The sequence below is a fragment of the Homo sapiens genome, chromosome 22 (genome assembly GCF_000001405.40).
Source record: "Homo sapiens chromosome 22, GRCh38.p14 Primary Assembly".
NCBI lineage: Eukaryota > Metazoa > Chordata > Mammalia > Primates > Hominidae > Homo > Homo sapiens.
Window position 1 is genome coordinate 29,389,857 of NC_000022.11, and position 16,667 is coordinate 29,406,523.

General features: G+C 46.3%; 1 protein-coding gene across 1 annotated transcript in view; it reads left to right on the forward strand.

The window, feature by feature from the left end:
• The window catches only part of RFPL1 (ret finger protein like 1), a 54,547-nt gene that overhangs the window by 1,948 nt on the left and 35,932 nt on the right, over positions 1-16,667 (forward strand). The gene's annotated exons all lie outside the window — the stretch shown is intronic.

A 16,667-nucleotide genomic window follows, 5' to 3' on the forward strand; every position in this document is an offset into this window, starting at 1 on the left:
GTCGTGATTTTGGCTCACTGCAACCTCTGCCTCCCAGGTTCAAGCGATTCTCCTGCCTGGGCCTCCCAAGTAATTGGGATTACAAGCATGCACCACCGTGCCCAGCTAATTTTTGTATTTTTAGTAGAGGCGGGGGTTTCACCATGTTGACCAGGCTGGTCTTGAACTCCTGACCTCAAGTGATCTGCCCACCTCAGCTTCCCAAAGTGATGGGATTATAGGCGTGAGCCACTGTTGGTATTTTTTAACTCACCAAAATATTGGTAAAAGTTTCCCAAAATAGTAAATACATTTCTACTTGGCACTTTCCAGTATCTGCATAGTATTCCATTACGTGGATGGTACTGCTAATCTCAAAAACAATCCCCTGAGGTTGTTATCCATCTTTTTTAATATTATCAAAAAGTTGTTAATAAATAAGCTTGCACTTACTGCTAAGTGCACTTATTGCTAAGTCTCTACGTCCTATCTAATATAGATATTACTGGTTTTTATATTTAATATAATTTTAGATGTTTAAGCAGCCTCAAAGCCTTTAAAAGTTATTTTTAAATAATTATAGACTTACAGGAAATTGCAAAATTAGTACCAAAATTGAGTCCCATATACCCTTCACCCAGCTTCCCACAATGGTGACATTTTATATATCTGCAGTATAATAGCAAAAGCAGGAAATTGGTGGTGTTGGTAAAATACCGTTATCTAAATTACAAACCTTATTCCATTTTTATTTATTTATTTATTTATTTATTTATTTTAGACGGAGCCTCGCTCCATCACCCAGGCTGGAGTTCAGTGGCTCGATCTCGGCTCACTGCAAGCTCCGCCTCCCGGGTTCACGTCATTCTCCTGCCTCAGCTTCCCGAGTAGCTGGGACTACAGGCGCCCGCCACCACGCCCGGCTAATTTTTTTTGTATTTTTAGTAGAGACGGGGTTTCACCGTTGTTAGCCAGGATGGTCTGGCTCTCCTGACCTTGTGATCCGCCCGCCTCAGCCTCCCAAAGTGCTGGGATTACAGGTGTGAGCCACCGTGCCCGGCCACCTTATTCCATTTTTAAATCCTTTTTAAAAGTAGTCAGGGAGGCCATCCTGGCTAACACAGTGAAACCCCGTCTCTACTAAAAAATACAAAAAATTAGCCGGACATGGTGGTGGGTGCCTGTAGTCCCAGCTACTCAGGAGGCTGAGGCAGGAGAATGGCGTGAACCCGGGAGGTGGAGCTTGCAGTGAGCCAAGATTGCACCACTGCACTCCAGCCTGGGCGACGGAGTGAGACTCTGTCTCAAAAAAAATAAAAATAAAAAAGTAGTCAGGGAACAAATGGAATTTTTTTTTCTTTTGGCTTCAACAATGGAATTTATTTTCTCACAGTGCTGGGGACTGGAAGTCTAAGATCAAGGTGTTGGCATGGCTGCTTTCCTCTGAGGCCTCTCTCCTTGGCTTGTAGATGGCCGCCCTCTTGCTATGTCCTCACACGATCTTTCCTCTGTGTGCCTGGAATAATTTTATGTGTATGTATGTGCCATGCAGCATGTGTGATATGCAACTTTCTGGAGGAACTGCCCTTCTCTGATGATAGATGTTGGTAAATGCCACCCGCCTCAGTGGAAAACAAAATTTCATTGGGAATGTAACATCAGAAGAGAAAAATTATCCTACAAAACAAACCAACAAACCTAAAGGTATCAAGCTGGAGAGCTTATGTGCAAGTGGCAAGTCAGTGGTTGAAGGAGTCAGAGCTTTAAGATTTCCAAGGAGGGAGAGGTCACAGCACCGGGCGGCTCAGGAAGGACTTCCTGGGGAAGATGGCATTTGCGCTGTCTTGCCGAATGAGAACAGAGTTGCGTAGGCTGAGAGAGAAGGAAAGGGTAATCCAGAGAAAAGAACTGTGCCGAGGCAGGAAAACCTCACGGGCCCACCCCCACGCCCAGTGCAAGGGAGCCAGGTGTCTGAGTCCTGCAGAAAGCATTTTCCAAGCCTCTGGTTTCAGCCAGGCCCTGGGCTGGGTGCTGGATAGTCAGATGGGTGAGGCTAAGGCCCTGCCCTTGCTCAGCCTACAGTTTGCAGGGAGAGGGGGTGACAGAGGAGCAAGTCACAAGTGTGACTGATGCTGTGAGAGGGGACATACTGGGAGGCTATGGGAGTCCAGAGCTAAAACTGAAGTTCCTTTGGGTTGGAGGGACCAGGGATGCCTGGACAAGTAGAAGGTTTTTGTTGTTGTTGTTGTTTTGTTTTTGGTGAGCCGGGGTCTTGCTCTGTCCCCCAGGCTGGAGTGGAGTGGCAGCAATCTCGGCTCACTACAACCTCTGCCTCCCGGGCTCAAGCAATTCTCCTGCCTCAGCCTCTCGAGTCGCTGGGATTACAGGCGCCCACCACCAAACCCAGCTAATTTTTGTATTTGTAGTGGAGATGGGGTTCCAACCTGTTGACCAGGCTAGTCTTGAACTCCTGACTTCAGGTGATCCGCCCGCCTTGGCCTCCCACAGTGCTGGGATTATAGGCATGAGCTACCACACCTGGCTTTTTTTTTTTTTTTTTTTTTTTTTTTTTTTTTAAGACAGAGTCTCCGTCACTCAGGCTGGAGTGCAGCTGTGCAAATTTGGTTCACTGCAACTTCTGCCTCCCAGGGTCAAGCAATCCTCCTGCCTCAGCCTCCCAAGTAGCTGGGACTGCATTTGCACACCACCATGCCTGGTTAATTTTTGTATTTGTAGTAGAGATGGGGTTTTGCCATGTTGGCCAGGCTGGTCTCAAACTCCTGACCTCAAGGGATCCACCTCCAAAGTGCTGGGATTACAGGCATGAGCCAACACACACGGCCAAGTAGAGTGTATTTAATCAGGAACTGCAGAACAACAGTGAATGTTTATGGAACATGTAGCGTGGCAGGTAGTGTGCAGAAAATCTCATTTGCTCCTGACATCGGCCCCATGAGGAAGGGGTTGTTTTAGCTCCATTTCATCTTGGGGGGAACTTCAACCCTGAGAACTTAAATAGCATGTGAGTGACAAGGCTGAGGGCCTGGTCCCAGAGCCCCAGCTGTCATGAGTTTCATTCATTCTCCTAAAATATAATCATCACTGCCATCTGAGCCAGGAACACTGGGGATGCAACAGTGAACAGGGTATGGCACAATCCCCCCTTGGGGGCTCACTGTTGAGTATGGGAGAAAGATAAACAAAGGGACAATTATAACTCAGAGTGGTAGGAAGTACCAGGGAGGCACAGGGGATGCAGGCACCAAATTCAGCCTGGGAAAGTCAGGGAAGTCTTCCTGGAGGAAGTGACACCCAACCTGAACTGTGAAGGGTGAGACTACTACTAATAGTTAACCATTAACCAGGCACTGTGTGAAGCGCCTCTGCATATTAACTCATTAAACTTTCCCAATAATTCCATGACAGTTCCATGACTGTCCCCAAGTAGAGATAAGGAAAAGACCAGTGGGTAGAACTGATTTCTTCCCTACTTCCATGAGGGCCTGGACCTGCTCTCCCACAGCATGATCTGGCAGGAGAGCTAAAAATATACTAGTAAGAGGAAGTACAGTTCAAAGTAAAAGGCTGGATAATTACAGCTTGCAGAGGTGGGTGACAGAAGTGGGGAAGGGAGCATCTAAGGGAACTTCCCTCTCTGCCCCCACCACTAAACCCACCTAGCTACACTGCCTGAGTCATCCACACCATCAAATGCTGACAGCTACAACTGGAACTGCCACACCTGGGGCACATGTGGGTGCCCCGGCCCTCTGAGACCCCAGGCCCAGGAGAAACTCCTTGCCCTAGGATGTGGGGAGCAGAGCCAATGGTAGCCAAGCCCACCTGGATAGAGAGAGAGAGAGAGAGAGGGCGCTGGCTTCCTCCCAAGAAATACATACTTCCTGACAATAATACTACCTCCTGGCTAGTTTTTATTTTTATTTATTTATTTATTTTGAGACAGAGTCTCACTCTTTTTGCCCAATCTGCCTACCACACCCAACTAATTTTTGTATTTTTAGTAGAGATGGGGTTTCACCATGTTGGCCAGGCTAGTCTCGGAACTCCTGACCTTAAATGATCTGCCCGCCTTGGCCTCCCAAAGTGCTGGGATTACAGGCATGAGCCACCACGCCCGGCCTATTTTTATTTGTTTTAGAGATGAGGTCTCACTATGTTGCCCAGGCTGGTCTCAAACTCCTGGCCTCAAGTGATCCTCCTGCTTTGGCCTCCAAAGTTCTGGGATTACAGGTATGTGCCCCTGTGCCCAGCCAGGACATTTTAAAACTTTTCTCCAAGCCCCAGTGTTTTTATACCCTGCCCGATTTGAGCTGGCTGGTGGAGACAGGGCTGTCCAGTTCTTTGTTTTTGAGACAGAGTTTCGCTTTTGTTGCTGCAAGCTCCGCCTCCTGGGTTCAAGTGATTCTCTTGCCTCAGCCTCCCGAGTAGCTGGGATTACAGGCCTGTGCCACCACTCCTGGCTAATTTTGTTTGTTGTTGTTTTTGTTTTGTTTTGTTTTGTTTTGAGACGGAGTCTCGCTGTGTCGTCCAGGCTGGAGTGCGGTGGTGCGGTCTTGGCTCACTGCAACCTCCACCTCCTGGGGTCAAGCCATTCTCCTGCCTCAGCCTCCCGAGTAGCTGGGATTACAGGCACCCACCACCATGCCTGGCTAATTTTTGTATTTTAGTAGAGAAAGGGTTTCACCATGTTGGCTAGGCTGGTCTCGAACCCCTGACCTCAGGTGATCTGCCCGCCTTGGCCTCCCAAAGTGCTGGGATTACAGGCGTGAGCCACTGCACCGGGCCTGGCCAGTTCTTTGGGCCTCAGTTTCTCTTCTCTGCGAACTGTGCACCCACCATGGGCCAAGCATCGTTGTATGCCCTTGACATCCATCAATTCATTTAACTCTCACCGTTCTCAATAGGTAGATGCTAAGATAACCCCATTTTACAGATGAGGCCACTGAAGTCCTGAAATGTTGAGGGACTTTCCCAGCTTCCCAAAGCAGCAATGGGCCTAGCGGAGAGTCAAGGCCAGGGCTGATGACGGCAGGCCTCATGCTTTCTTCTCCACTCACCCTTACCTGCTTCATGAGGTTTCATCCAATGCCAGGAAGGTTGAGAGTTCGTGCGGTCTCGTGAAATGACCCACTGTGACCCCTGCCACTGGCATTCTGTGACCCTCAGCAAGTCCCTTCCCCTTTCTGATACTCAGAATCTCAGAGCAAAGTCCTTCCCATCCTCCCTCCACAATGAATGGGTGCATAAGTACATGAACAAATTAAGTATTCTTCCCCTCTGCGCCCACTAGAGTGCGCACAGGTGCCACTAACCGCCACCGTTCCCTTCAATTGCCATCCTTTCACAGGGGCCGCTGTGCCTTTCTATATACATTCCCAGCCTTTCCGCACTCTTGTTCCTCTGTGATTACTATTCCTCTACTCCAGTCTCTGTTTGCTTGCTGGTTTTTGTTGTTTTCATCCTGCAAATCTCTAAAAGTTGCCACAGAGCCTTTCTAAAAGGAGGCAGGAGGTGGCTTTGTCCATAGCCTCAGGAACACCAGCCTCCACCTGCTTGCTGAGGGCAGGCAGCTTCCCATCCCTCCCGCCCAGCCCAGGCCTGGCACAACCCCCAGGGCAGAGAGGCCTAGAGCTTGCCAGGGATCCCAGCCTTTGCCTCCAGCTCTCCTTGCTGCAGATGTCCTCAGTGCACCATTTCTAGTCTTCCCAGTAGCAAATTCCTGCTCAGCCCCTCCTAGCTGTACACCACAGGCTCCCTCTTGAAGAGCTCTGCTCTCTCAGGTACCCCTGTGCTGAACTACCCTCCGCCGATGCATCGAAAAAGCCCAGGCTCTCAGATGGGCACAGTGGCTCACACCTGTAATCCCAGCACTTTGGGAGGCTTAGGCAGGTGGATCACCTGAGGTCAGGAGTTCCAGACCAGCCTGGCCAATATGGTGAAACCCTGTCTCTACTAAAAACACAAAAATTAGCTGGGGATGGTGGTGAGTGCCTGTAATCCCAACTACTAGGGGGGCTGAGGCAGGAGGATTACTTGAACCTGGGTGGCAGAGGTTGCAGTGAGCTGAGATCATGCCCGTCCACTCCAGCCTGGGCAACAGAGCGAGACTCTGTCGAAAAGAGAAGAGAAGAGAAATAAGAGAAAAGAGAAGAGAAGAGAAAGAAAAGAGAAGAGAAGAGAAGAGAAAGAAGAGAAGAGAAGGAAGAGAAGAGAAGATAAGAGAAAAGAGAAGAGAAGAGGCCCAGGCTCTCAACCCCACCTGGGCTCAGATCTTCAGCTATGGGACTTCAGTTTCCAGTCTGAAAAATGGGACTTGCTATGGTTTGAATGCATCCCCCAGGAAGCACATGTTGGCAGTCCCCACTGCAACAGTGTTAGGAGGTGGGGCCTAATGGGAGGTGTTTGGGTCATGAAGTCTGTACTCTCATGAGTGGATTAATGCCAATCACAGAAGGGCTTGAGGCTGTGTGTTAGATCTCTTGCACTCTCTCTCACTCTCTCTCTTTCTGCCATGGGAATATGCAAGGAGGCCCCCACCAGATGCCGAGCAGATATTGGCACCATGCCCTTGGACTCTGGACTTCAAGAACCATGAGCCAAATACATTTCTGTTTATTATAAATTACCGAGGTATTCTGTTAAAGCAGCACAAGACAGACTAACATAGGTTGGTTGTGCCTTCTTGCAAGGTTGCTGTAGAGATTAAATTGTAGAACTAATGTACAGTGCCTGGCATCTATAAGTCCCCCTTAAATGGGAGCTTTTGTATTAATTTAATTTGTATTAATTAAAAAAAAATAGAGGTTGGAGGGAGGTCTTACCATGTAGTTCAGGCTGGTCTCGAACTCCTGGCCTCAAGTGATCCTCCTGCCTTGGCCTCCCAAAGTGCTGGGACTACAGGCACGTGCACCACACCTGGCTAATTTTTGTATTTTTTGTGGAGACAGGGTTTTGCCTCATGTGCTCAAGTGATCCACCCACCTTGGCCTCCCAAAGTGCTGGGATTACAGGTGTGAGCCACCACACCCAGCCTGAAACTTCTTTTTTTTTTTTTTTTTTTTTTTTTTTGAGACGGAGTCTCGCTGTGTCGCCCAGGCTGGAGTGCAGTGGCTTGATCTCGGCTCACTGCAAGCTCCGCCTCCCGGGTTCACGCCATTCTCCTGCCTCAGTCCTCCCGAATGGCTGGGACTACAGGCGCCTGCCACCGCGCCCGGCTAATTTTTTTTGTATTTTTAGTAGAGATGGTGTTTCACCGTGTTAGCCAGGATGGTCTCGATCTCCTGACCTCGTGATCCGCCCACCTCGGCCTCCCAAAGTGCTGGGATTACAGGCTTGAGCCACCGCGCCCGGCCACCTGAAACTTCTTAAGTAGTTCCCACAATGACATAAGTTCAACAACTGAGACAAATCTCTTAATCTATATGCCCTGGTGTTTCCGTTTCTGTGCTTGAACCCTGACTGAATTGGGGGGATACACTGATTCAGGTCTTCAACTGGTTCAGCTCTAAGGCAGGTCCTTAGAGCGTGAGGTCTCCAAAACCCATCAGCCTTGGGTCCTCCTGGTGGGACTTGCTCAGAGTCCAGTTTTCCTAACCGCCCTGTAGCTACCAGTGGCTGGACGAGGACAGACTTTTCCCAAGCCAGTGCCAACAGCAAGAAACTGCAGTTACCTGCCGACCGATGGGCCAAACAGAACAAAAGAAAACCCAGGATTGGACCTAAAAACCAGATCTTCTGTATCAATAGAGGGTCTTTTGATAAGTGGGCATCTTGGAACTGGGGCACTCTGGGAACAAAAGTGGTGATGGGACTCTGTGGGTGAGTGTTAACCCCCATTCTCCTATTGGGATAGGGTTACATGCTCCCAGGAGTGGGGTTTGGGTCTCTGCATGCAGATTGGGACCCTGCTTGAGTAGTGCCCACTTCTAGTTGGGTAAAGAGGCATGTGGAAGCTGAGCTTCCATCTGGGGCTGAGCTGGACTTCATGACACCCAGACTCTCCAGCCCGGGCCTTGGCTAGTTCCCAGGGGGCTCTGAGGCCATGTCCAAGGGGACAATGATGGCCCTCAGTGTGACAGGGTGGCTGGGAAGTGGGAAGAATCCATGGAAGGGGGGGTTGGCATCTGGCTTGCCCGAGGGGTCTCCCACATCGAGCAGGGCAAATTCCCCACGCAAAGCAGCAAGCTGCACCTGTCAGAGCTCTCAGTGCTGTGGCTCATCCGCTCTACCCTGGGCAGCTGGTGGTACGAAGCTGGTTAGTGCCATCTGAGACCACCACTGGGGCTGCACTCATGGGGGTGTGGGAAGGCTGGAGATGGCAGGCCTCAGCCTCATGAAGATCTCTGTTACTCCTTTGCTAATTACCAACAGTGATCCACTGACCCCAGTTCAGGCCTCAGTTTCCCATCTGTACAACAAGGGGACTGGACTGGATGATCACTCATTTGGCTTCCAGCTAGGACTCGTAATAATGGTGATGATGGTGATGATGATGGCGGTGCCATTTGCCAAAAACTCACCATGTGCCAGACTCCACGCAAAAATCATGAAACTGGACTGGCTCCCTTAATCTGCAAAATATCCCCACGGGGCAGGCACAGTTGTTATCCCCATTTCGTAGTTGAGGGCATGCAATCCTCGTGCAGTTGGAAAGGAGCTGAGCTGGGAGGAAGATAGGACAGCCACATGGATCTAGATCGGGACCCAGGTTCTGCTGTTTCTAGCCGTGTGACCCTGAGCAAGTCACTTGCCCTTTCTGTGCCTCTGTCTCCTCTGATGCCCATTCCTCGGGGCTGCTATGTGGCCTAAAGGAGGCAATGCACTATGCGTGGTGCACAAAGAACACACCGTAGTCATCAATCATTGTGATGATTATGGTTTTTCTTTTAGTCTCCCGTGTAGCTAGGTATGGCCATATGACTAACCTTTAAGCCAATGATTTGTAAGCACTGTCCTATGTGGAACTTCCAGAAAATCTTCCTTCTTCTTCCTGTCCTCCATCCTGCTCTCTGGAACGAATATACAAAAGCTGAAGATCAACAGCCACCCTAGGCCACAAAGATAGCAGGGATGGGCCACACTGTCTCTTGACTCCCTTACTAGAAGACAAGTTACACAAGAACAGAAATCTTGTTTATCTTGGTCAAAGCGACCTCCAGAACACTTACAAAGTGTGTGTCACGTGTTAAGGGCACAGGTATTGAATGACTATTGAATGAATAGGTGAATAAATGAATTTACTTCAGACTCACCAATAAATAAGGTTTCAGCTTCCTTCATAGAATTAAAGTATTGATTAATTTAAGTCACATTACTTCTATTTGCTTTCCTTTGCTCTCCCAAACTTGCACCTGTCATAGAAGGATAGTGTTTTGTTTTTTTAAATGTGCTCCAGAATTCCCCTCAAAAAAAAAAAAAAGTTTTAAAATCTATTTTCATGACAATGCTTCCCAGTATAGTCCTGCTTAGCAAGTTTAAAATTCTTCAGTTTTCTTGGTCATGGATACGTATTTTTGTGTACGTCTGTTGTTAAATGGAGGCACTGATTTGGAACAAAATAGACCTCACCTCAAGTCCATAAGAATCATCCAAAATGGTATCTAATGACATTCCTGGGACCTCAGCCAATATTATTATTGACATAGAATGCAGTCACTGGGTCCTGAGGATTTCATCGGATGTTGGTTGCTGAAACTGAACTTTATCGGGTCTTTTCCCCTTCCACTGTGGTTTTCCACATTTCAACATGTCACCTAACTGTCCTCAAACTTTACTTAAATCTTTTCAACTAAATGGAATCTTTATTACCCCTGCTCCTCTGCTTTTTGAAGCAACCGTTTTCCTCCTGTGATAACACTCCCTGTGGCCCCTTTTGTGGCCCCTTTTGTGGTCACAGGGTTTGTAAACATTCAGACTTTTTGCAACTACATATACTTTTATTCTTATTTTTCACTCTTCTCGCAGTTGTTGCTTTTTCTTTTAACTCTTTGAGGGAGTTAATTAGCCCCCTCTTCAACTTTTGTGATGCACCTATTCATATTTGAGCCTCTGGGTTTTTGCTCAAATTGCTTTTCAATTTACTCACTGTTGAAGAAAGCCATTATTTGGGGATTGTAAGGTGTATCAAGCTTTTCTTTTCTTTTTTTTTTTTTTTTTTTGAGACAGCGTCTGGCTCTGTCGCCCAGGCTGGAGTGCAGTGGCGCGATCTCGGCTCACTGCAAGCTCCGCCTCCTGGGTTCACGCCATTCTCCTGCCTCAGCCTCTCAAGTAGCTGGGACTACAGGAGCCCGCCACCGCTCCCGGCTAATTTTTTTGTATTTTTAGTAGAGACGGGGTTTCACTGTGTTAGCCAGGATGGTCTCGATCTCCTGACCTCATGATCCACCCGTCTCAGCCTCCCAAAGTGCTGGGATTACAGGTGTGAGCCACCACGCCCGGCCTATCAAGCTTTTCTAAAGTGTAGACTTCTCTATACATAATTGCCTCTTTCCTAGAGTAGTTATCTGACAAGTCTATTCAGAGAGCTGGTCATGAAAAGAGCTTTTTGTAAACCTCTCCTTTAGAAGAAATGTCTCTAGTCACACAGTGCTTTCTCCCTTCTTGATTTTGTATCAGTCCGAAGCTAATCTGTCCTCACTCTGGATTGCATGAACTTGTGCCTTCTTGGGCATCATGTGTTATTAATTCTCCCTCTCTTCCAATTGTAAACATGTTTCCTTTATTGGTTCTTACCATTTAGGATAAAAGTATACTCATCTTTATGGGGGGGGAATGAAAGCTTTCTTAACCATATATCTCCCTTCAACTGTTCCCACATCTCTCTTTTCAGCCATACTTTTAGGAGGAGAAGCCCTCAGTTGATGTCTTTACTTTCTCACCTCTAGTTCACTCTTTCCCCACTGCTGACGCTCAGCTTACTCACACACATCCTCAATCACTGAGTTGCCACAGGCAATGGCATCTGTGGCTTTTCTGCCTTCTTGGCAAAATATGGCTCTGTTGATTGGGGTATTAGGTATAAAGTACCTACTGACCAGGCCCTGTGCTAGGTGAGGCCATTACAGAAATGAGAAGCAGACACCACCTCCATTCCGATGAGACCCACCAGATCAGCCATTGCTGATGAACACTCAGGTGCCTTGACTCTCACTTTTCACTTTTGCAGTCTTTACTTCATGCCACGTACATTTCCCTATTCCCCAAGCCTCCTTTCTCTCCAAACCCCTCCCCTTATTAGACACAGCCTTTTAAAGCAGTCACGGTCATACCCATGGCTTCAATTGTATTGTATATGCTGTTATGACAATAGAATTTAAATGTTGTTCTTATATAACAGTTTTATTTTACGTGACACCTCATTCGCTACAACCATAAATTCAAAGTTTCCCTAAGAAAGTAATCACTAAAAAATTGTCATATTCTTAGTATGTAAATTTTAGGAAATTTCCTTAATGATTTGAGTTACTGTGTGTGTGTTACTTTTGAAAACATGAGTTGGGATGTCACAGAATGGACTTAGCCTACAGAGGTTTATATCCAATTTTCAACCAGACGGTTCCATTTCAATGTGACACTTAAAGAGTTCAAAACTGTCTCATTCCCCACACCTCTTTCTCGTCCTACATTCTCTGTCTAGGGGAGAATCACTGCTATTTACACAGTCCATCAAACTAGGGCCTTAGCAGCCTGTTTTTCCTTCCCCTCTTCTTCCACGTCTAATCACCAAGCACTTCCTCTTCTATCTCCCAGCTGATCACAAAACTTTTCCTTCCACTTCAGTCACTGCTGCTGCCTTTTTAGCCTTACTGTTCTCCAGATGAACATAGAGTATCTTAATCAGCCCCACTGCTTTCATAAAGCCCTCTCCACTGCGCAGAGTGACGTCACTGCAAACACATCGGATAGAGACTCTTCACCCCTGTGTGGTTCAGTGACTCTCGTTTCCAGAATAAAATTCAAACTCTACCCCAGCATCTAATTTTGGGTCAGATAGATCTGCGTTTTCATTCCAGGTTGATTCACTGTCCAGCAGTGTAGCCTCAGACAATTGAATCCTCTAAGCCTTTGTTTGCTCATCTGCCTGAACTCACGGAGGGTTGGGACTGTTTCACACATGCAGTATTGGCACTTAGACTTAATGTTGAATGAAGGGGAGGCATTTTAAAATCCACATCAAAAAACTGTTATTCTTTAAAAAAAATACTAATCTACAAGGTCACTGCCCCTCCAAGCATGACGTCTACCTTTACTTTCTGATAACCATGATCGGCTTGTGGGGATCAAGATTACTCAGGATTAAATCCTAGCCCCATCTTGAGCCGTCATGGAAACTTGGAGAAAGCTACTTAACTTCTCCATCTAGATTGATTCTGTAAAATCCATAAAATGGAATGGTTTCTGGGGGTTAAATTAGTATACCACAGCTGGAACACTGTCAGGCTTGCCAGATATTTACTATTCATCTTCATCAAATGAGGACAGTGGTTCTCAATTTTGTATAAGAAAAACACGCTTTATGCATTGTTAGTAAAAGAAATATCTGAATATCCCTGCCATGGAAGAAAGAAACAGAGGGAGAAAAGAGAGTTGGTAGGTCCTAGCATTTCAGAACTGGGAAGGATGAGTTCAGTCCCTATTTTATAGACAAGGAAGGGAAAGTGTGATGTGTCCTAGGGTTTCATTCAAGTCACAGTCATCACGCTTTATCGAGAGTGGGACCAGGGCTCTAGGAGTTGCTATGGTCAAGTTGAAGACAAAAACTAACACTTGTAAGACAGGAGAGAAGCATTTACTTACAAAGCAGTCCGAAATTTGTGTATAACTACATTTGGTGAGCAAACGAAAGCTGCCAGACTCAGAAAAACAGAGATGCTAATGGAACTGACTTTAGTAACCAGGGTTTTCCATTGAGTTCATTGCCCGGGGTGACTTCCAATAACAACCCCCGCCCCCCTGCACTTTTCTCAGGACTGGAAAGCTCAGGCAGCCCAGGACGAATAGTGCAGTCACCACAGAGGGACAGGGTGGCCACAAGGTGGGCAGCAGCAGGGAGGTGTGAGCCATTGGTTGGGTCTGTGGGGTCGGCCATTGTGAGCCACTAGCCTGACTTGGTTGTTTCCTGGTAACCAGGTGACATAGGAGGCTTTGTGGGTACTAGCCATTGGGCAGGGCCAGCAGCCTTCAGTAGCTGGTAGTGGAAGGAGGAGCTCTGACTACACTCTCACGACTGTTTTTTGCCTCTTGGTTCTTGTTATGTCCCTTTCTTTTTGAAATAAGACAGAAGGTCCCCACCTTCATAGACATAGAGAGATCCCATCTTATTTGTTTTTAAAAATAAATTGAAAAGTGAGGCGGAGCCTTGTGAGGATGATGGGAGAGGGCTTCCAGAGAGGAATTTCTTCTTTGGAATTCCTGAAATGGGAACAAACTTGTTTTGGGAAAAGGACAGAAAGACACAAAGGTGGCTGCAGCAGAGTGAAATGAATATGATGGGCTAAGGCCTCGTACACGTAGTGAGCATTGACAAAGAATATGGACTTTAGTTGAGATGGGAAACCACTGGAGGATTACAGCCTGGGGATTACTGTTAATTCTCCAAGAAGAAGACTGACCAGCGGCTGTGTGAGAATGTCCTGTAATGCAGGCAAGGGTGGAAGCAGGGAGACCAGCTAGGAGGCTGGTGGCGAAGTGCAGGTGAGAGTCAACAGTGAACAGACAGACGATCATGACCTGAAATAGGCTGACTTGAGAATCTCTAGAGTCAAGTGATCCTAAAAGTAGGTAATAAAGTGATAAATAGAGAAGTCACAGAAAAAGAAATGCAGACGATCCTTAAACACATCTTCACACATAAGAGAAAGGCAAATGACAACTATACTGCAGTGTCTCTCCTATTAAGTGAAATTCCAAAAACGTGGCAATACATTCTTTGGTTTGGCTGTAAGGAAAGTTGCATGCATATATTGCTGGTGGAAATGCAAAATGGCTCGACTCCACGAAGGGGAATTTGGCACAATCTCACAACCTTGCAAATGCATTTAAACCGGAAATCCTACTTTGAGGCATTTTATCCCGAGGGTATACTCCATAAATATGAAACAACCTATGCACAAAGTCCTTGTTGCATTATTTTCAATAGCTCAATATTGGAAATAACTGAAATGTCTAGTAAGGGACTAGTAAAATTAACTGGTACTTCCACCTAAAGGAGAACTATGGAGCTGTAAACAAGGGTAAGATGTCATTTTACTGCTATGGAGTGATTCCCAAGATAGGTTACACAGAAAAGCAAAAAGGGAGAACATGCGGTAACATACATGAAAGAAAGCAGGGGGAATAATGTGTGATTATTAAAACAAACAAAAAAACAACGCTGGGGAATTCTTGATGCTGACCTGTGACTGTTTTCTCCTTAACTTCAGTGGGTAGCCAAAGTGCGTGTTTTCTCAAAATGTTATTTTGCTATGGGTTTTCCAAAGGATGTTAACTGTTTACTTTTCACCCAGAAGCTTTGCTTTGTAATTGATTGTGCATTATGTAGTAAATAGACTGCTCTTGCATTTTATTTGATCCTCTCAATGTTTTAAGTTAGGTGTAATATGAGAATTTTCCTTGTGTCACATATGAGAAGGCTGGTTCTAATAAGTATAAAGTGAGTTTTTCAAGGTTTGAAAAAATAAGAGTCAGATCAAGAATGTAAATTCTAGACATGGCATATAAAACTAGAATTTATTACAAGGTGCATATGAGCTGCTTTGAATACTACCTCTTTTAAAAAAAATTTCCTTTAGTTTATTAAAGTAGTTAAGCCTCAGGATTAAAACAGTAACATTAGATAATGAGAAATAAAATGGAGATACTTGTAACTCAGTAATGCTTTTTATCTTTAAGAGACAGGGTCTTGCTTTGTCACCCAGGCTGGAGTGCAGTGGCCTGATCATAGCTCACTGCAGCCTCAAACTCCTTGGCTCAAACAATCCTCCCACATAAGTCTTCCACGTACCTAGGTAAACAAGAGCTCACTACCACACCTGGCTAATTTTTAAAACATTTTTTATAGAGAAGAGGTCTCACTATGTTGCCCAGGCTGGTCTCAAACTTCTGACCTCAAGCAATCCTCCTGCCTTAGCCTCCAAAAATGTCAGGATTACAGCCATGTGCCAGGACACCTAGCCCAGAAATGTTCCTAAAACTCTGAAAAATGAAGTTAAATGCTATTAACAAATCTATAAATGGATAAAAATATACTATGATATATCAAATGTCACAGCTCAGTCATGGTCACAACATTGATTAAAACGTTAAACAGTTTAGGCAAGTCTGAGAACTGAGAGGGAAGTACAGGATTGCTTTGGAAGCCAGAATTAGGATTGTCGGAGCAGGGAAAGCAGAAGCAAGGCGTGAGTGTGCACAGGACTGGGGGACGCAGCAGCTCCATGGTATGCTGTGTGTCCTCTTACATGGCAGGCCACCTCCAGGCCAGCAGATGAGAATCACCTGATGGGTGATTTAGGTAAAATCACCCAAAATAGAGTGGATTTAGGTAAAATCCCAGACTGTGCATCATAACTGAGAGACTTTAAATGTTTGTCTTATGGGGCATAAAGCTAATCAAAGTGAAGACGCAGGGATAATAGAGCAGGTGAGTAAATGCAGTAAGCCACCTGCCACCTCTCCAGGGCATCAACCATCCCAAAGAAATATTGGGGCAGCAGGATTTGACAAAGCTTTTGAGAAGAGCTCTCAGTTCAGGGTCCAGGGCATGATCTAGAGGACTCAGATGTTCCTGGATCTCTGTCCCCAGGGAACCAACTACATTCTTGCCCCACATCTTCATGCCTCACTGTGGTAACTCTGGGCAAGTCACTCAAAACGTCTAAGTTTTAATTCATTGAATTGGAAAATACGGGTTGTAGCCCCTGCTCTGCCCGTCCCTCGGGGCTAATGTGGGGATCAAAGAAATAACACATCTCGGCCGGGCGCGGTGGCTCACGCCTGTAATCCCAGCACTTTGGGAGGCCGAGGCGGGTGGATCACGAGGTCAGGAGATCGAGACCATCCTGGCTAACAAGGTGAAACCCCGTCTCTACTAAAAATACAAAAAATTAGCCGGGCGCGGTGGCAGGCGCCTGTAGTCCCAGCTACTCGGGAGGCTGAGGCAGGAGAATGGCGTGAACCCGGGAAGCAGAGCTTGCAGTGAGCCGAGATTGCACCACTGCAGTCCGCAGTCCGGCCTGGGGGACAGAGCGAGACTCCTTCTCAAAAAAAAAAAAAAAAAAAAAAAAAAAAAAATAAAAAAAAAGAAATAACACATCTCTTTCATGAGCTGGAAAGCATCATGCCCATGGAAACAGTGAAGTCACCTTCCACCCTCCCCTGCCCGGGAGCCATACACGCTCCCTCTCTGTATTCTATACACTACCAAGTATCTGGATTATTCTTCCAGACATTGAATGATTGAACACTGTTGGGCATTTACAACTCATGAGTCTTCTTAAGCCTTTATCTGTATCTCATCCTTTTTAGCCCTATAGATCTTAGTAGGTCTATAGCAGAGATCTACTAACATTCCCACATCTCAGAATAGGGAACTGAGGCACAGAGGGGTTCATTTCACTCTCCCAGGTATGTGCAGATTCTAAGTAGCATTTGAACCCAGGCCATTCTTG